General features: G+C 44.9%; 1 protein-coding gene across 2 annotated transcripts in view, besides 2 other annotated features; it reads right to left on the bottom strand.

The window, feature by feature from the left end:
• CLCN1 (chloride voltage-gated channel 1) overlaps positions 1,218 to 20,990 on the bottom strand; it is a 35,973-nt gene continuing 16,200 nt past the window's right edge. The window contains exons 11-23 of one of the 2 annotated variants that reach the window (NM_000083.3): positions 20,798 to 20,882; positions 20,428 to 20,577; positions 13,979 to 14,048; positions 13,680 to 13,790; positions 11,159 to 11,372; positions 10,796 to 10,929; positions 7,539 to 7,780; positions 7,050 to 7,161; positions 6,643 to 6,722; positions 6,352 to 6,390; positions 2,825 to 2,929; positions 2,647 to 2,733; positions 1,218 to 1,707 (exon numbers count right to left, since the gene is read on the bottom strand). In NM_000083.3, coding sequence (NP_000074.3) covers positions 1,336 to 1,707; positions 2,647 to 2,733; positions 2,825 to 2,929; positions 6,352 to 6,390; positions 6,643 to 6,722; positions 7,050 to 7,161; positions 7,539 to 7,780; positions 10,796 to 10,929; positions 11,159 to 11,372; positions 13,680 to 13,790; positions 13,979 to 14,048; positions 20,428 to 20,577; positions 20,798 to 20,882 — 1,801 coding nt within the window. In that variant the 3' untranslated portion in view covers positions 1,218 to 1,335. The remainder of the gene's footprint in view (positions 1,708 to 2,646; positions 2,734 to 2,824; positions 2,930 to 6,351; positions 6,391 to 6,642; positions 6,723 to 7,049; positions 7,162 to 7,538; positions 7,781 to 10,795; positions 10,930 to 11,158; positions 11,373 to 13,679; positions 13,791 to 13,978; positions 14,049 to 20,427; positions 20,578 to 20,797; positions 20,883 to 20,990) is intronic. The other variant, NR_046453.2, reaches the window with a different exon arrangement.
• Positions 7,591 to 7,885: a silencer, noted in NCBI's record as "tiled region #4117; K562 Repressive DNase matched - State 4:PromP". NCBI's record gives its function as "represses a minimal TATA promoter and a strong SV40 promoter by Sharpr-MPRA in K562 cells {active_cell/tissue: K562}" and the evidence as "EXISTENCE:reporter gene assay evidence [ECO:0000049][PMID:27701403]".
• Positions 7,705 to 7,784: a silencer, noted in NCBI's record as "silent region_18722". NCBI's record gives its function as "represses an Ori minimal core promoter by ATAC-STARR-seq in GM12878 lymphoblastoid cells {active_cell/tissue: GM12878}" and the evidence as "EXISTENCE:reporter gene assay evidence [ECO:0000049][PMID:35858748]".

The raw sequence follows: 20,990 nt of genomic DNA, 5'->3' as shown, positions 1-20,990 counted from the left end.
AGAACGGCATACGGGATGGCAGGCTGGGGAGAAAAACCTTGGGTACGGAGCAAGGGTTTGGGGATGCTCACAGCACCTGGCCTCTCTTTGTAGAGAAAGCACGCTAATGGAGTGCATAGCCAGGCTTCCTGCTGCTGATTTGGGGAGGGTGAAGATGTGACTCTCCCAAGTGCGGGGCAGCACTCAAGAGCCCTGCCATCTTGACGCTCAGCTCCTAACTCTCCACCCCTAGGAGAGGCATCTGAAGAACCAGTCTAAGAGGGGGCTGGTGTCTGAGTGACCCAGTGACCTAGCTGCTCTGAGCCCTGATTCTTGGCAGGAGAGGCCCTGGCTAGAGCAGCTCCAGGGTAGAGCTGACCTTTGGCAGGACAAGTCAATAACAAGAGGGAGGATGTGTTTCCTAGGGAGTAACCTGGACACTGGAGGACAAGGAAGCTGTGCTGTGGAATAGAAAGTTTTCTGCCAGAGGGAGTCGGCGGACACCATGGGGGCGTGATTGTTGAGCAACAGGGCACTTGTGTCTTTTGCACAGAGCCTTTGGCGACCTTTTCTTCCAGGCCGCTGCCCCTGACAGTCTTTTTCTCTGCATCTCACTGCTTGAAGCAGGGGACAACGGAGGGGGAATGTGGGCGGCCTCTCACTGCGCTAGTCACGGCCTGGCCTGGAGACAGGCAGTGGGGTCAGAGGCAGATTGCAGGAGTGCACATGGGCCAGTGCGGGGCTCCAAGAGAAGTGGCTGTGGCTGGCCTCGACACAGGCAGTGGGCTCAGAGGCAGACTGCAGGAGCAGACGTGGGCCAGCGCAGGGCTCCAAGAGAAGCGGCTGTGGCTGGTCTGGAGGCACATTCTGGGGTAGTCAGTGCCCGAGGCCATAGGATGGTCCCATCCCCTCCTCCGACATGGCACTTGCAGGGCCACAGTCATTCTGGGCCTCCCCTCACCCCACCTCTTGTAGACACTGAGGCACAGATAGCACAGTGCTGGGACAAGAGTACTGGGGAATTGTTGGGTGGGGAGGGGGAGGCAGAGAGAGGCAGGGGATTCCCTTCCTGCACACCAGGAACACTCGGGAAGCCCCACGGAATATCAGGGGCCCTTCGCTAGGGTTAGGGCCACCTGCCTGGCTGGGAATGGGGAGAACAGTCAAAATAATTGACCAAGGCTCCTCCCTGCCTAAATGCTGATTCCTCCTTTAAGACTATCACATTAAAAAATTCCTGGAAGAGGCCACGACATTGGCATGACCTCGCCACATTCAGGACGCACCCTGCCCCACACAAGTTCACCCTCAGGCTGGGCCTCTCCACGGTCTTTATGAGGAGGTCGTGGGAGGGGGTCAAAGGATCAGTTCATCCTCATCCTCCTCGTCTGTGGATCGCAGGCTGGGGCCCTGCAAGATGTCGGCCAGCTCCTCTTCCAGCCCTGGACTCTCCACCAGCTCCAGCTCCTCCAACTCGCCCTCTACCTTGCCTGGGGCCAGGGAGAGAGGGGGCTCTGGGGAAGGAGATGGCACAGGGGTCTCTGGGGAGGCAGCAATCACATCCCCTGTTCCAGTGGCCCCAGGCCTGTCCTCAGGCAGGTTCCAGTTCTCTGCAGAAGATGGAGGTGCCCCGGTACTCTTTCGAGTTGAAGTCGTGTTCCGGAAGCTGGCAAGGGGAGGGCGGAGCTGCACCCCAGACTTGGTGTGCCCCTCAATGGCCTTCTGTAGCTGAAGAGCAGTGGGAAAGGAAAAGAGGGTAAAAAGTTGGAAAAAGAAAAAAGACGGGGGCAGTGAGAGACACAGAAAAGAACAGGTACAATGAAAGGAAAAAAGAACAGGAAAGATATAGAGTGGCAAAACGGGGAGAAAGAGAAACAGAAAACAAGGAACAATCAGAGAAAGAAAACAGAAAAAGGACAAGAAAAGGGGCATGACAAAAGATCCACCTGCCCAGACTCAGACCCTTGGGTGACCTCTTCCTTCCTAGTGACCACCTGCAGCCACATCCCCCCACTGCCTTTTTTCCGCAGCTTTCCTCAAAGCGCATCCCCGAGAAACTGTGACTCATGCCTGGAACCCCCATCTCAAACCCACACTATCTACAGAAGATCACGTGGGCCCCATCTGGGGTGGAGAATTCCATTCCCTTCAGGGCTGTGGCCATAACAGGCTTCGTAGTCTCCTCTACCTCAGCTGGCTGCTTGCTCTACCCCCTCCAATCTCTGCATAAGAAATACAGAGGGGTGCCAGGCATGGTGGCTCATGCCTAGAATCGCAGCATTTTGGGAAGCCGAGGCGGGCGGATCACCTGAGGTCAGGAGTTTGAGACTAGCCTGCCCAACATGGCAAAACCCCGTCTCTACTAAAAATACAAAAAATTAGCGGGTGTGGTAGCGGGCGCCTGTAATCCCAGCTACTTGGGAGGCTGAGGCAGGAGAATCACTTGAACCCGGGAGGCGGAGGTTGCAGTGAGCTGAGATCACGCCACTGCACTCCAGCCTGGGCGACAAGAGTGAAACTCTGTCTCAAAAAAAAAAAAAAGAAAGAAATAGAGAAGGGAATCTGAGGGGACTTCTGAGATGCTAATATTCCTTCTGTCCCCACTGCATCCCCTTATCCTATGCCCAGCCTCCCTCCTGCTGCTCAAATGGGACACATCGTGATTACCTCCTCCAGGGCCAGGACGCCCCTGAGCTTCCCCATGCTGGTCACGTAAGCGAGGTGGAGGCCAAGGAGTGAAAACAGGGTATGAGTCTGAGGATGAAGAGCACAGGTCAGTGCATGTTCCTTGCCCCACAGCTCTCCTGCCTTCCCCACAGCCCTGAGCAGTCAGCAAAAGACTCACCTTGTGCAGGGTTGTCTGCTCCACCAGCTGGAAGGGAGACTGGTCAATACAGCAGGAATCAAAACAGACAGGCTGGCTCAGCTGCTCCTGCTCCCAGGCCTCAATCTGTCAGCCAGAGGAGGAAAGTCACGAAAATCACAGAGCCTCCTTTCACCCCAGATACCTGATTTTGACCCCAAACGGCCCTCCTAGCCGCTGCCCAGAATCTGGGAACATGCAAGAACTGATCATAGATCCCCCAGATCAGAGGACCTCCTCCTTCTTCCCAGGGGACAGAGCCTCTCTGCCCTTCCTCATCAGGCCCCCAACCTACCCTGCAACCCCCAGGTACCCAGAACACCCCTCCCTCTTCTAGGCTCCAACTCTCCTATCCCCTGGCGTCCCAAACATTTGTTATTCCCAACCTATCTTTCCCATCTATTTTCCACTACTACTATAAGACGTGGGGCTCCAATCAAACCAGACTGCTTTCTGCTCTTCAAACATGCCTTCCCCTTTGTCTTTGCTATTCTGACCATCTGGAGTTCCTTTACCTGCCCTACCCTCTCCCTGCAGTGTACGTATTTCCTGACTCTCCCAATCAGATGTGCTTCTCCCCTTTTTTATTCCCATAGTATTAGCTGGTCTCACCTTTTCAGAAATGACATTGGCCATACTTCCTGCTGTATTGGCATCTGTCTTACCTCTGCATTTGTCTTGAGTGTTATGTGGTATCGGCTGCTGTATATTGTGAAGAAACTAGCACATCACCTCTCATGCAGGGAACTGTAGTGGGTACTTGTTGAAATTGAAGAGCTATACTGGACCTCATGGCACTTAGCTGACTTGAGCAAAGCCAGTTTTTGTTTGTTTGTTTTTGTCTATGACAGAAGCATTAAGGCACAAAGGCCAACCATCCTCTTGACTTTAGATACGCACACCAAAATTCCCAAGAGTCCAAATAATCCATTACATCTCTGGCTCTCTTACATTTTTCTAAAATTTCTAAAATCTCTTTTCAGTCAGTATCCTCTGAATGATCTAGAACTCTATTTTCCTATTTGTCCAAATCTACACCTCTCAAACTTCAGAGAATATCACCAAAGGGCATTATATAGGTTTAGGATCTGGTGTGTAGCCCGTAGTGATGCTCACTCCACCTGTCCTGTCCTGATATTTCTGGATTACAATCATGACTCCTCTATACTCTCATCTTCCGGACTAATGGATTACAGAGGTTACATAGCATAGGATGGATGACCACTTAGCAGGTGTGTTGTAGAGAAGATTTAGGTATAGGACGGGGGCTAGACCTTGCCAACCATGGTTTGGTCCATCCCGTCCTCTTGGTCTTTTCTATGATCATCTGTGGCCTTATGTTCCGTTTTTGCCTTTCCTTAACAATAACGCGGCAACATTTTCAGTGAATGATTATCAAGTACATCCTCTTTGCCAAGCATTATTCTAATTGACTTACCCGTCTTAGCTCATTTAATCTTCTCTAATAACTCTATCATTATCTTCACTTTATAGATGAGGAAACAGAGGCACAGCATGTTGAAGTCATTTGCCCAGGATTACACAGTCAGTAATTGGTGGAGCTGGGCTTCTAACCTTGACTGCTGTTTGTATTCCAGGTACATCTCCAGCTTTTGCGCAAGGGATGCAGGACGTTGCTGTTGAGGCTGGTGTGTTCCACTACTTGAATAAGCTCGGTACCGGTTAGAAACAGAGCTCTGTGTGTACTCCAGAGTATGCAGAATTAAACAAATCCTAGTAGGGACTTCTGGCAACATATAATTGAATCTTTCAATATTCCCATACTGCCCCCATACTGTTTTTTTGGTCAATATCAACATCTTGATATTGTCAAGGGTATCATCTGGTCTGAAAATTGTGTTCAAAACATCCTGAATTTCAACTCCTGTTAGATCTTATCCCTCTAAAATGTCTCAGTGGGTCACATGGGAGTTGGTAGCTCCTTAAAGTCTTCCCTGGGAAAGACATAAGCTAGAAATGATAGTCTATCTTATTTTTAATCCCTGGCTTCACTTTATTTCCAGTGGTCATTCAATAGCCACACTGATCAACTAGCTGGTTTTCTCTCTTTGGTGCATTAAATTAAAAAAAAGAAAAAAAGCAAAACTTATTGTTATTGGTTTTAGCAACCTAACAAAGTACTCCTTAACTGCAATTATGGCCTTTCTGATTCCTGCTTGTGGGCAGAAGGAATAGTTCTTCCTTTCCCTCTGTGATCATCGATTTGACTTTTTCACAAGTCATTTATCAGAAGTGTGTGTGTTTTGAGGGGGTGGGGAAGGTTTCTCTTCTGTCTTGTCACTCACAACATCCTCCTCCAATCCTGTAATGCTTTTCATTGTCAGCACATATTTATTCTGGATATCCAATAAGATGTTCATTTAAAAATAATATCTGCCGTGTTTTTTTTGTCAGCTTCATACTTTACAAGCTTTACGTTTTCGGCGTTTGCAGCAAACTCTGCATTCTTTTACCATATGGAATAGTTGCCAATGGATTTTTCTGTTGATGTTCCTCCACAACCCCTCGGTATGTTCTGATACCGCCTGCTTCCAATCACTAGTCCACATTCTGTTCCCTCCTGACAACCAAGCACATTCAGAATGCTTGATTTTTCTCTCTTGAAGATTTGATAACCACCTCGTTTAGGAAAATAGGCATTTGTTTGTCCCCAGGAGGCACCGTGGTCATTATTTTCTTCCTTTTTCAGTTCTTCCCAGTAGCAATGCCTAGCATTTTCCAGTTGTTCACTGTCTCAGGGCCCTGATCAATCCAGCACAGTAATCTCCACCAGGAGCAGATTTCTCCATTTTAGTTTTTTTTTTTTTTTTTTTTTTTGAGGCAAAGTCTGGATCTGTCACCCAGGCTGGAGTGCAGTGGTGCAGTCTCTGCTCACTGCAACCCCCACCTCCCGGGTTCAAGTGATTTTCGTGCCTCAGCCTCCCAAATATCTGGGATTACAGGTGCGTGCCACCATGCCCGGCTTATTTTTGTATTTTTAGTAGAAATGGAGTTTCACCACGTTGGCCAGGCTGGTCTCAAACTCCTGACCTCAGGTGATCTGCCTGCCTTGGCCTCCCAAAGTGCTGGAATTACAGGCATGAGCCACCATGCCCGGCCTCCCATTTTAGTTTTGATGTTCTTCTTCTATGTTGCTGTTTTAGTGCCAGCCTCCTGGTGCCATTTTACCTCCATTAAAGCTTTGCCTGATCCAGAAAGCCCATAATCTCTAAAAGATCTGGGGCTCATCTTAGCACCATGGCCCCATTTACTCATGGAGGCTCAAAGTTTTTCTCTTCTGAAATGACGTGTCCTTCTGAGAACACCTCCATGTCCCATCACACACTCATTACTCTCTCCATAATCATCCTTATTTCCATCCTCTCAAAACACTTCCCATCCAGACCACATTCTATTTCATGACAACACAATAAAGAAGGTAGAAACAAATTAGCAATATCTTCATTTGATAGAACAATCCACCCCAGGTTTCCATTTCCCTTACTCACCTCTTCAGGTGACATGTTATCCACTAAATCTGTGGAATCCTAGAGAAGAAAGACATAGGTCCAAGTTCTTTCCCTTTTCTTCCCATGGTAGCTATGGCTCCCAATGAAACAATAGCCATCCCTCCCTGGCCAGGACCACCGATGCCTCCTTTTCATTCATCATCCCTTCCATATGATTAAACTCCTCCTCCTTGGTGGGGTCTCTGCCTTCCTGATTTAAGAACCGTGGGTTTCTCACTCTTCAAGGGCAGGCTCCCTTTCCCCTGTATCCCCAAACACATCTCCTCTCACCTGGGTTGTTTTCTTCTTTGTGGGGCGAGCTCTGCCCAGCAAGCAGTGAAGCAGGGACTGGAAGATGGAGGGTCTTTGACCTGAGAGGACAGGTGAGTGGATGGAAATGGACACAAAGCAACAGGAAACGGCCAGGGGCCCCACCCAGTGCCTAACATTTGCCTCCAAAGAGCTGCACTTCCCAGGTACCTCACCCTCTCTTCTACCCTCCTAAATCACCCTCTGCTCCCACTCCCTGGGACAGTAACAAGGAGAATTGATGAATAAGAACCCTGTCCTCCCTCAATCCCCCAGCCTCACCCCCCACCCCACCCCGCATAGGAATTGCATGCAGGTCAAGGTCAGGTCCTAGTGACCAGAGAGAACCCACAAGGGGTGAGTTGGGGTGCATGAGGGAAGAGCGTCACCTGCAGGCTCTGGTGCTTCCGGCTGCTGTTTGTGGCCAGGCAGAGGCCCATTGGGCTCTTCTGGGGACAGAGGGGCAGTAGTAGAGGGGTGGAGAGCAAGGGAAGGAGGAAGCTGTAAGGAAGAGTAAGAAGTCTCAGCCTGGGAGCAGAGACTGCCTGGGCCTTCACTGCCTTTACCAGTTGGTGGATGTTCTGGGAAAGCGAACTCTATTCTTCCCCCCAGTTCAGAAATTCCTATATCCCTTTGAATTGTCGAGGATACCATCATCTGCAACCTTATCTTCTTTAGTCCCTGGACCCAGAGGCACTGGTCTCTATGGTACCTGATCCAGAATTTCTGGCTTTCTCAGTTACCAGACTCTCCCCTCCCTCTTCCCACTACTTTCAGGGAAACTACGCCTGTCCCAGCCCAGCCCAGCCCAGCCCAGACGACGCTTTTCCCTTTGCTCCTGATCTATCCCACTCCCTAGCCCTTCCCGGCGCGGTCACCTCGCTCTTGCCAGAGAGGTCTTCGTCCTCATCCTCATCCACAAAGGCGAAGGACTCGGGCCGGCCTGGAGGCGCGCCGGGGAGCCCCTCCCCAGCCAGCCGCGCCTTCCCGTCGTAAGGCAGCTCCGACAACTTCCGCGCCATCTCTTGGGCTGCGCGCAGCCTGCGCTCAGGACACAGGTGGCGCTGCAGGAGGGCCTGCAGTTCCGACCGCTCCACCGAGCCCAGCAGGATCATTGAATCTGAGGGAAACCCACGCCCTGCCTGAGCGCCCCCTCCAAGCCCTCTCGCACCACCGCGCTCCGCACTCCTGAGAAGGAACAGGAGAGGCGCCACCCTGCCCGGCGTCCCCACATCTTTCTCAGCTTCCTGGAAACTCATTTTAAGAATCCTCCAAGATTAACCTCACTCAATCCCTTTTATTTCATCCATTTAGCAGGTACGGGGCCAATTGGTAGAGCACTAATTGGGCTAATTTGTACTTATTTTGATGAGGCCTTATATAGACTTCAGATAGGTGAGCTGATAATTAAGGAGGCTAATCAATGCTGTCCAAATAAAAAGAAACATGAGAAGCCATTCAAATAAGCTGAGACGTGAACACGCTTTGAAAGAAGTCTATAAGCAATACAAACATTATATCTCTCCCTGGAAAAAGGGAAACAAGGGAACTCTTTCTTTTGTATCTGACATTTCATCATTTAAAAAACCTGGGCCAGGCGGTGGCTCACGCCTGTAATCCCACTACTTTGGAAGGCCGAGGCAGGCGGGTCGCCTGAGGTCAGGAGTTCGAGACCAGCCTTGGCCAACATGGTGAAACCCCGTCTCTACCAAAAATAAAAAAATTAGCTGGGCGTGGTGGCAGGCGCCTGTAATCCCAGCTACTTGGGAGGCTGAGGCAGGAGAATCGCTTGAACCCGGGAGGCAGAGGTTGCAGTGAGCTGAGATCGCACCACTGCACTCCAACCTGGGCGACAAGAGCGAGATTTCATTAAAAAAAAAAAAAAAAAACCCTGCTAGGATAAATCAAAATGCCTACTTTTCCTGAGAAGGTCTTTTATATGATTATAGAAATTTTGCTACTATAGTTAACATTTTTATTAAGTTTTAAGGCCAAGACATTGCAGCAGTGCTCTGGAGATGAATTTTACTGTTAGGTCTCAGTCATTATTATGAAAACCTTGCCCCTCATTTGTTGGCTGTACCCCTCCTCTAATAAAGAGCCTCTGCTGTAGAACGTGGAATGTATATGAGATTTGGGAAAATATTTGAATTAATTTAATTTGAGAAATTTGGATATTCTGATTATTGGAAATCAGAACTAACAATCTTAATGACTCCAAATGGCCCTACATGATTTTTCTTTATTACACTAATTCAAACACTAGGAAATTATTCATTTAATATCTAGTAGATACCTATAACAAGGCACTCTGGGTATATAGAATTCATAGCCTCTATTCTCAAGGAATGCCCACCTAGTTAGGAAGACAAGATATAGATATATAAACCACAATAAGAAATCATACAAAGCAGGATGAAGTGTCAAATGATGGTGAAGGCAGAGAAATGTGAAATTATCGTTTACTAACAACCATTCACTCCTCCATGTGAAACAGTTCCAGCCGGGCACAGTGGCTCATGCCTGTAATCCCAGCACTTTGGGAGGCCAAGGCTGGTGGATCGCCTGAGGTCAGGAGTTCGAGACCAGCCTGGCCAACATGGTGAAACCCCGTCTCTACTAAAAATACAAAATTAGCTGGGCATGGTGGTGCATTCCTGTAATCCCAGCTACTCAGGAGCCTAAGGCAGGAGAATCACTTAGAACCCAGGAGACAGAGGTTGCAGTGAGCCAAGATGGCGCCATTGCACTCCTGCCTGGGCAACAGAGTGAGGCTCTGTCGAAAAGAAAGAAGAGAAAAGAAAAGAAAAGAGAGAGAGAGAAAGAGAGAGGGAAAGAGGGAGGGAGAGAGAAAGAGAGAGAGAGGGAAAGAGGGAGGGAGAGAGAGAGAAAGAGAAAGAAAGAAAAAGAAGGAAAGAAAGAAAGAGAAAGAAAGGAAGGAAGAAAGAAAACAGTTCCAACTCTTCCATAAGTTGGGCATTAAAGAACAAGCATGACTTATGTAAGCATCAAAATGGAACAACGTAAGAAGCTATGGGATTTACATTAATTGTCATTATTCATGGATTCCCTATTTGTGAATTCAGCTAGTCACTAAAATATATTTGTAACACAAAACCAATACTAGAGGTGCTTTCACTGTAATTCACAAACATGCAAAGAGCAACAAAGATTTTTAGTTGTCCCATGTCCCTGTTCCCAGCTGAAGTTGAACAAAGCAGTGCTGTACCTTCTTGTTTCAGCTTTCACATTGTAAACAGGTGTTCATTTTGTAGTCTATTTAGTGCCATCCTTTTTGCATTTTTGTGCTTTGTGTTGGTGATTTTGCTGCTAAAAATGACCACCAAATATAATGTCAAAGTGCTGTTTACTGTTCCTAGTGCAAGAAGGCTGTGATGAGCCTTATTGAGAAAATATGTGTGTTAAGTAAGCTTAATTCAGGCAAGGGTTATAGTGCTGTTGGCACAAGTTCAATATTAATTAATCCACAATATCTGTGAAATAAGGTGTCTTTACCAGAAACACACATACAACAAGGTCATATATTGATTGGTTGATGGAAATGTGACCAGAGACTCACAGGAACACAGCCCTGTATTTTTCCTAGGAGCAATTATTCAGTATAGTATTTGAACTTCATACTTAATTGAACATAACTACCATGAATTATGAGAATTGACTGTATTTAGTGGGAAATTTTTTTTTTTTTAACAGAGTTTCATTCTTGTTGCCCAGGCTGCAGTGCAATGACACGTTCTCGGCTCATCGCAACCTCCGTCTCCCGGGTTCTAATTACAGGCATGCACCACCACACCTAGCTAATTTTGTATTTTTAGTAGAGACAGGGTTTCTCCATGTTGGTCAGGCTGGTCTCGAACTCCTGACCTCAGGTGATCTGCCCACCTCGGCCTCCCAAAGTGCTGGGATTACAGGCATGAGCCACCATGCCAGGACCTTTTAATTGCATTTTTAACTGTCTTTGTGTGCTTGTGTTATGGCTTAATTTTTCCTTCCTTGTACATAGCACATTGGATGGCCCCTAAAGACAAAGCCCCCACCATGGGGCCTCCTCTACCTCTATGTGACCCTTATTCAGGTCACTAGCTCTGGAGTCGACTTCTTCCTCCCCACTGACCTTTTGAGTCAACCAGTGGTAAAGTCTTGACTGTGGTGGTCTGGAGCAGGGTTCGCAACTCCCCATATGTGTAAGAAGCTGAAACAAACTTCACATCACGTACCATGATGTCCTCAACAAAGATGGTATATTTGCTATGGAGGGAGAAAGCATGGTGGGTTAGCCCCACCGTATACCTATCCCTTCCATTCCTCCCATAAGATTTGCCATACTTTCAGTCACTCACAATATCTACTAGGTGCATGAGAATATAATAATAATTTAAAACAGTGTTTCCAAACTTTAACTCTAAGCTCAGTCTCAGCCTCAGAACCTCCCACTCTCCCCATCAGATCTGAACTAATTCCGTCTAGTGCCCCTGACCTGAGCTGGTTCCAGCCAAGGTCAGGCAAGTAGGGTAGCTTCTTGACCTGGATGATGCTGTCATAGAGAGAGGGCTGCAGGCTCTGGGCCACCATGTTGGCCAAGATAACAGCCACCATCATGGGCAGGATGTGAGCAATCTGACCCGTTAATTCGAAGCAAATCACAGCTGTGGAGACTGTGTGGGAAACGGCACCAGTCAGCGCTGCTGCTCCTAGAATGACACAGGAATACGCCTGTAGGTTAGGGCTACCGTTCTTAGCATGAAGGACATATGGGGATGGGATGGGAATAACACGGAATGAGAGACATGACCCTGGTCAGTGCCAATACTCATAATGACTTGTCAAGAGTAGGGAATAGAATACTGAACTCTTAGAAAAATCATCATTTTGATCTCATTCTATAAACTTCACCAAGTTACAAAATCTTTGTGTGTGCCAAAATTTTCATTTATAATATGAAGATAGTGATGTCCTATCCATTCCTTGCTTTTAAAAGTTTGGATGATTATTCACTGAGCATTTTATTTTATTATTTTTTAAAATTATTATTATTATTATTATTATTAATTATTATTATTTGAGGCAGAGTCTCACTCTGTCACCTAGGCTGGAGTGCAGTGGTACAATCTCGGTTCATGGGAACCTCCACCTCCCAGGTTCAAGTGATTCTCCTGCCTCAGTCTTCCGAGTAGCCAGGACTACAGGCATGCACCAACACACATGTCTAATTTTTGTATTTTTAGTAGAAACAGGGTTTTGTCATGTTGGCCAGGCTGGTCTCGAATTCCTGGCCTCAAGTGATCTGCCTGCCTCGGCCTCCCAAAGTGCTGAGATCACAGGCATGAGCCACTGTATCAGGCCTCTTCACTGAGCATTTTACAACTCAGTTATAACATTTTTTTTTTTTACCTTGGGCTTTAGGTATTAATGCCAACAATTAGTGAGTAAATAGAATGAAAACCCGAGAATCATACTGTGGACATGCAGCAATGAGACCTGTGTCAGATCCTGCTCTTACTATTTCTCAATGGAATGAGTAGAGCTTAATTCCTCTGGAATCCCATGCTCTCAATTATAAAGCGAAAGGGGTCATTTAGATGATTTCTAAGGCGCTTGTAGATCTGAAACTTTATAATTCTATAAGCTCCCTGAAGATAGAATCTATCTTGTTAATTTTTGGTTGTTTCTCCACTAACCAAAATAGTCCTTTGTGCTTTAATTATATTTCTTATTTAAATATGGAAGAGGTATCCTATGGGGAAAATGTAGAGGAAGGCACATATGAAAATGTAACAAGAAAAAGTCAGCCGGGCATGGTGGCTTATGCCTGTAATCCTAGCACTCTGGGAGGCCGAGACAGGTGGATGACTTGAGGCCAGGAGTTTGAGACCAGCCTGGCCAATATGGTGAAACCCCATCTCTACTAAAATTACAAAAATTAGCCAGACATGATGGCATGTGCCTGTAATCCCAGCTACTTGGGAGGCTGAGGCAGGAGAATCACTTGAGCCCAGGAGGCAGAGGTTGCAGTGAACCCAGATTGCGCCACTGCACTCCTGGGCAACAGAGCAAGACTCTGGAAATAAAAGAAGAGAAGAGAAGGAGAAGGAGAAGAGAGAAAAGAAGGAAGGAAGGGAGAAAGAAAGGGAGAGAGCAACCAAGAAAGCATCACAGAAGGGAAATATAGGGAGGAATGACACTATTGGATATTGCATATAACATACTTCAGAACATAAACAATCACAGGACGTGCATACAAGGAAATGTTCACAAGGGAGGCATGTGTACCAGGGAGTCATGAAGATGGAGAACAAGAGTCTATGACCCTCATTGATGAAAGAGGCTTTTAGAAAGAAACTATGTCAGGGGAGCAGCGTACCAAGTGAGCTAGAAAGCTGGTCAGCACTTCTCTATGTAGGGAAGGCATGGCCTTAGATGCTATGGGATTTTGCTGAGGAAGGGAGGAAGCATAATAATCCCAGGATTCTATTGGTGTTAGGCATAGCTCTATCTCAGAAGTCATTTTAGAATAAAGAAACTAGGGCTCAGAAGCAGCTATCTTGCTTCATGGTGACTGGTAACAAGTGGCAGGAGAAGTCTAGAGCCATGTTTCTTAGCTCTTAGTCCTGTGCTCTTAACTACCCATCAATATCAACACGTCTCAGGTTGAGTCAATCACCTGCAACCTGAGCCAATCACCTGCATTGTTGGTTCCATGATTCTTGGGAAGGAAAGACAGAACCCTTATCAAACATCCAGACACAATCCTAGAATCTTATGATCTCATTTGATCCCTATGATCCTTTTCTACATGAGGAAACTAAGGCTCACGGAAGTTCAGTAAGAAATAATGAGAGTCAGAGCCATGGGTATGTTATCTGAGTAAAAGTTGAGTTAAGTAGCACTAAATTAAAACCGTATTGTGTAGCCTAGAATGAAGATCCAATGGGAGAGTTTAAGTGTGGGGATCTGAAGTACTCAATGTTTGATTACAGGGAAGTGGGAATGTTTCTCACCAATTACTGCATAGCCCCCAGGTAGGATCTTGTAGATGATGTCATCAAACAAAATACCATCAGGAAAGAGCATGGCCATGATTTCTCCTACCAGCCTTCCAAATGCAGCTCCTAGAGGGAAGATAAAAGGAAGGAAGGTGTTACGAGATCCAAGTTCCTTGCTCTCAGTTTTCAGAACCAATCTCTCCTTGGGCATTAAGAACAAATATAAACTCCCAGCATCCCGGGCCTTTCCTTATGTTTCCTGTATCCTAGATTGCAACTCTCAGTCAGACCCCAGGCTTCCCATCAGAACTTACCTAGCACAAACACAGGCATGAAGCCTCCGCAGGGTATGGGCATAGTGGTGGCCACGATGGACATCCAGAACTGGAGTAGAAAGAAGCGTTGGAATACCCTTTCAACTCTGCCCAATAGACATGCACACACAATTCCCTTCCCACTATCCTCCTTTCTGCAGAAATCCTGGGATAGCTGATCCTTCTGAAAGTCACTTTGTCTGTCACCCTTCTTCCAGAAACAAAAGCCATAGAGCTCTCAGGCTAAGAGATCACCAAAGACAATACTATCAGAAGGTTCCTCTAGATGGCTAGACCAAATCCCTTCTACTTTGAGTGCCTGTATTTGCCTTTCAGCAATCTAGAACAAGGAATGGAGCCCCGGAGTACTTATCTTTCTCTGCCCCAAAAGAGCCCCAGCCCATTGTACCCATTTAGTCCAGAAAGTTTGCCTCAGCAAAGTAGCCTGAAACTCTTGAAGACTTTTCCTACTCAGGTTATATTTCTGAAAAGGCGCTCCGGTTTTTTTTTTTTCTTTTTTTTTTTTTTTGAGACAGGGTCTCTCTCTGCCACCCAGCACCCAAGCTGGAGTGCAGTACCATGATCTTGGCTCACTGCAACCTCCGCCTCTGAAGTCCAAGCTATTTTCCTGTCTCAGCCTCCTGAGTAGCTGGGACTATAGGCGCACGCCACCATGCCCAGCTAATTTTTTGTATTTTTAGTAGAGACGGGGTTTTGCCATGTTGCCCCGGCTGGTCTTGAACTCCTGACCTCAGGCAATCTGCCTGCCTCTACCTCCCAAAGTGCCGGGATTACAGGTGTGAGCCGATGCGCCCGGCCAAGGAGCTCCAGTTCTAAGTGTCAGACATTTAAAGTCTGAGTGACTTATTGTGTGATTAATTGAGCTTCAATGGGGTCATAGAACCATCTATATGGTGAAACTCACAGTAGAACCTGGAGAGAAGACTTACCTGCCTGAGCCACTTGCTTTAATGATCAGATCACCTTAAACAAGGATCAAAATTTAGATCTGTCCTGGCTAGCTACTGGAAGGGTAAATTGAGAAAGCCTGATAAGTCAGCCAATGTGATAGAAAAAAAATCTCTAAGGCCAATTTTGTAAGCTAGAACTCCAATAGAAATTGAGACCATTTTACAAAAAGCAATATGTGCATTTTGAGGCAAAGAGTACAAAAGAATTGTCCGGGTGCAGAGGCTCACGCCTGTAATCCCAGCACTTTGGAAGGCAGAGGTGGGCAGATCACGAGGTCAGGAGATCAAGACCATTCTGGCTAACATGGTGAAACCCTGTCTCCACTAAAAAATAAAAAAATAAAAAATAAAAAATAAATTAGCCAGGCATGGTGGTGGGCACCTGTAGTCCCAGCTACTTGGGAGGCTGAGGCAGGAGAATGGCGTGAACCCGGGAGTTGGAGCTTGCAGTGAGCTGAGATCATGCCACTGCCCTCCAGCCTGGGCGACAGAGCGAGACTCTGTCGCAAAAAAAAAAAAAAAAAAAAAAAAAAAAAAAAAAAAAGAATTGAGAAATAGAATGGAAAAAAGGCTAGTTGTGGAACTTTTTAAATATCTGTAAAAGAAATAGAAGTATGAGATGTCATATGTAAGCAAAGCAACAGGTTTATATATCCCTTCCAAAATAAGTAAACCAATTTCAGAAATGGATCTCAAACTTATTAGGTGTAAGAAGGTAGCAGCTAAAGCTCAGGACAAACTGCCAAGATGAAAGTATTCACAATTTTAGAGCTGTGCGCAATTGCACTGTAAGCTAACGAGAAATATATTTCTTAATTTTCAGAACCGTAGAAAGAAAGAACTCCCCTCATCCAGGGCTGACCTCAGGAGACAGTGACAAAGACTCTAAGAAAGTCTCATCCCAGAAGATCTGAGATGAGGCAAAACACACACTCCTTCATGTCAGAATATGACTATTCAAAAACAGTTGAGAACTATAAAAATGAATGGGCAAAATGAAGAGAATAGAGACTGAGAATCCCCTGAGGACAGAGAGTGCATCTTGTCCTTTCTGCCTTCTCTCTGCACTGGCACAGTGCTCAGTAAATGTAGGAAGGGTGTAGCTAGGTGAGTAGGTAGAAAGGAAGGAAGGAAAGAACGAAGATGGGCTGAACAAATAGTATTCATGCAAAGGAGGAAAAGCTTCTCAGAGCTAATATTTGCTAAAACACTAAAGAGTAATGCTCATCCAGGGGAACTTGCTTTAAAATGCAGATGACCAGACCCCACTGGAAGCTACCACATCAGATTGTCTGCAGATAGGGCTATAGGCACTTGTAATTTAAGCTTCTTAAGTGATTCTGACATTTAACAGTTGGACTGAACTATCCTGTACCATCTCTTTGAAATAAGTACATAAAAGCCATAAGAGATTTTGTAGGCTCAGGTTAATCTGAAAGCTCTAGCAATTCATATAACAGGTAACCAATAGGTCTGATTTCAGAAGATGTATTTTAGATTATCCTCCAAGATATGTGTAAGAACAGTATTACAATCAGAAGACATTGAAGTTATCAACTCCTATAGCACAAAGGTTGACACATGAGATTAACAAACTTTTTTAGCTATTGGCACGTGAAAGAAAAGATCCAGAAGTAATGTGAAACACAAATAACTCCCAAGACTTTCTTCTTTCTCTTTCTTTCTTTCTTTCCCTTCCTTCCTTCCTTTTTTTTTCTTCTTCTTCTTTTTTTTTTTTTTTTTTTTTGACAGAGTCTTGTTCTGTCACCCAGGCTGGAGTGCAATGGTGTGTCAGCTCACTGCCACCTCTGGCTCCCGCGTTCAAGCAATTCTCCTGCCTCAGCCTCCCGAGGAGCTGGGATTACAGGCGCCTGCCACCACGCCCAGGTAATTTTTGTATTTTTAGTTGAGACAGGGTTTTGCCATGTTGGCCAGGCTGGTCTCAAACTCTTGACCTCAGGTGATCCGCCTGCTTTGGCCTCCCAAAGTGCTGGGATTACACCCAGCTTTTTTTTTTTTTTCTTCAGATCTAGACCTACAGAACTACCACGATTTTAAACACTCAATTTCAGGGAACTGGAAAACTGGAAACCCATTATGGGTTTCCACCATATTTAGACCCTTCATTAGAAGGAGTAAAATGAAGAATTCACTTCGGGAGAATGAAGTGAAAGGAGTGAAAAAAAATTCAACAGAGCCTCAGGCTGTGCAGAGAACTTAGTGATACTAGGTAACAATGTTAGACTTATTAAAAGCAAACTGAGAATTTGGAATGGTATTCATACTCATTGTAAAAGCTCTTCTCTTGATGTATAATGTAATGACACTTTCCACGTCATGAGATTAAGGAAGATGGAAGTTCTCTTCATTAATATTATAAAACAGCTGAATTGGCCAGGTGCGGTGGCTCACGCCTGTAATCCCAGCACTTTGGGAGGCTGAGGCGGGCAGATCATGAGGCAAGGAGATCGAGACCATCCTGGCTAACAAGGTGAAACACCGTCTCTACTAAAAATACAAAAAAATTAGCTGGGCGTGGTGGCGGGCACCTGTAGTCCCAGCTACAGGTAAGGCTGAGGCAGGAGAATGGCGTGAACCTGGGAGCCGGAGCTTGCAGTGAGCCGAGATTGTGCCACTGCACTCCAGCCTGGGCTACAGAGTGAGATTCCGAATCAAAAAAAAAAAAAAAACAAAACAGCTGAATTGAGAATCTTACCTGCCTGTACAGATGCTGCTAGAAGACCACATAGACTACATTTCAAATTAGGCACTGGAAAAATTGTTTCAGTCATGTTTATATTTTAGTTTAGCTATGTATCCTACCTAGCTAAAAAATAAGAGTATGGTTATTGTGTCCAATGATTAGACAGTGAAAATGCTGGGAAGTGGTGATAACCAGGGAATATCATAGATTTGTAGCAGTGAATGGTTTTATGTTCGTAAATATTATAGGATATTATAGGCCTGCTGCAAACTGTTAGGCTTGAAATATAGCCCAGGAAGTATATGTTTCTTTTCCTGATACAGTATGATGTAACATTATCAAGGATATAATCTAGTGAGAAATTAATAATTGTGGCATACAGGTGAGTCCTCTATATCATCTAAGTAGGTTTCTCAAAATAAGCTTGAATTTGCGAAGTGGAATCCAGACATATACTTGGGAATCTGGAGAGCTGGGATGAGGTTTGGCAGAAATGTTGAAAAATATACAGTATTTCGTTTCTACAGGACTTTTCAAAATCTTGATATTTTAAAGGTACATACGATGCCAATGTTGCCGTATAGCTCAGTCTAGAGGAATCTCAGAAAAATACAGTTATCATCATTGGACTACCGTCCAATTCTGAGATCCACCAAAATTTGTACTTGGTTACTGTAGATGGGTTTGTGTACTCAACAACTAATTATAGGAGGTTGGGATTTATAAATTAGAGAAGATGAACTCTATAATGAAAGTCTAAAAATCAAATCCCTAACAAGACACTGAAAACTTCTTTCATGATAAAAATGTAAAATCTTTTGAAGAAAGACATTTTAAAGGGATTAAATTAATAAAGTGAATGTGCAAAATATGAATGCTGTAGATTCAACTAAACCACCTAAAGTGGAATGGGGAAGATCATTTGCAAATACAGTTTCTAGACACCCTGGGAATATGTTACAGAGTTGAAATCTGGTGTTTCACGTATCTGCTGTCTCTAGTCTTAACATCACTAAAAAATTAAATTAAATAAACAGCAAAAAATAGAACGTTTTAAAATATTTAAAAATTTTTTTTCTGTTGCAAGCATAAGATATAGCTAAAGGTTAATGATGAAATATTATGTACTTGGCACATAGTAAATGCTTAATAACATTTATTGAACAAATGAACTCATGAACCCACTGTAGCTATTGCAATATAAATATAACTTGGTGACTCATATCCTGGGAAAACATAGATTTATAAAAGGTATCATAAATAAGTTAATAGCAAGGTATTCAAAAGCTTGAAAGTTCAGTATGAACAGACTTATAAATGAGAACTCTAATATACAGAGGAAAGTGTTGTGTTATTTAGGCAAGACATACTATTAGTAAAAAAGATAATCATCACAAAAGAAAAAAAAGGGCAATCAATAATTTTTTTTTTTTTCTTGAGGAGTGTTGCCCTTGTCGCCCAGGCTGGAGTGCAATGGCACAATCTTGGCTCACTGCAACCTCCGCCTCCTAGGTTCAAGCAATTCTCCTGCCTCAGCCTCCCAAGTAACTGGGATTACAGGCATGTGCCACCACACCTGGTTAATTTTGTGTTTTTAGTAGAGACAGGGTTTCACCATGTTGGTCAGGCTAGTCTCCAACTCCTGACCTCAGATGACCCACCTCTCTCGGCTTCCCAAAGTGCTGGGAATATAGGCATCAGCCACTGCACCTGGCCAGCAATCAGCAATTGTAATAGATGTCACAACCAGGGGTAGAAATAAAAATATCTTATTACAAGGCAGTAATTGAGAAGTCTATAAATACATAATCCTTGATGGGCAGATATGAAAAAGAAGTGATGTGAAAGAGATCATCTTTTATTGCCTAGTTGAAGCTAGAAGAATATGGTTTGGGAATGGCAAAATCCTCACAGCTTCATCACCTAAATAGAGAATAATAACATGTATAAAAATTATGTGTAGTCACTAATACAATTAATTTAAATATTTTATCCCTTTTGAAGATCTAAAAAAGAGATTATCTACAAAACCGGGGGAAAAAAGATGCTCAAATCACCTAAAAAATGGATCATCAGATACATGGAGAATGAAATACTTAATTATCTACTAAGTGGGGGAATTTGGTTAATTAATCCAAGGCTTTTACAGTTATTTATAATGCTTAACTCTATCTTGTACTTTTTTACTTGGCTACTGTGACAGCTTAGTAATTTAACAAGAAGAACAATTAGAAGGGTTAGATAACTATGCCAGACAACACTAAGTTGACGTGAATACAGCAATTAACTCAGATACTAGTTTACTTCTATAGCAACTTACAACTCTATAATTTTTTTTTTTTTTTTTGAGACAGAATCACACTCTGTCACCCAGGCTGGAGTGCAATGGCACGATCTTGGCTCACTACAACCTCCACTTCCCAGGTTCAAGTGATTCTCCTGCGTCAGCCTCCCCAGTAGCTGGGATTACAGGCATGCGCCACCATGCCTGGCTAAGTTTTTTGAATTTTTGGTAGAGATGGGGTTTCGCTATGTTGGCTATGTTGGTCTCCAACTCCTGGCATCAAGTGATCCACCTGCCTCAGCCTGCCAAAGTGGTGGGATTACAGGTGTGAGCCACCATGCCTGGCCAACTCTATGGTTTTCAAATGACTTATTTTTAGGTTGGATGAAGACCAAATGAAGTTCTACCCCTTCCTACCCTATGCAAACCCTGGGTTCATAGATTGAAAACAGATGGAGGTTTAGGGTGTTGCTAGTGTCAGGAGCAGTACCTTCATGACGAAGAAGAGAAAGATGATGATGACAACGTTGACCCGGGGGTGAATCCACACAGCTGACTGGCCCAGGCTCTCAGGATCACCCGCGTGTTTCACCCATGTATTGTTGTCAAACAAAGTACTGATGGCTTCGCGGGGCATCAACTGGGAGAGGAAGAAGCAGAAAGGGTGGGTTCTCCAGGGAACTCCTGTGCTTCCTTTTTTAGAGAACTTATTCCCCAGCCTCATTATTCAAGGGTCTCTTTTGCCCTTTTCTCAGGGAGAATCTAGAAAGTCTATCCTTGGACAAAACTACTTATGCTCTGAAGCCTGAGGTATATCTGTGCTGTTTCCTCTTTACCATGTGGCCCCACCAACAGCTGACCTCTCCAGCCATGAATTGACCCATTCCTGGTGGGAAGGTGAATGAGGCAATGACAAAGGTAACAATTCCAGGATACAGCAGGCGGCTGAAAAAGAAACAGAGTTAACCGCCACAATTCAGCCAACTCACAGTAAATACCATACTGAACGATGGCAAGCTGAAGTTTCCTTTAGTCCACCGTAGTCTCATTTCT

This window comes from Homo sapiens, chromosome 7 (assembly GCF_000001405.40).
Source record: "Homo sapiens chromosome 7, GRCh38.p14 Primary Assembly".
NCBI lineage: Eukaryota > Metazoa > Chordata > Mammalia > Primates > Hominidae > Homo > Homo sapiens.
The sequence above is the reverse complement of the archived record's forward strand: the minus strand, read 5'-3'. Positions and strand labels throughout refer to the sequence as shown.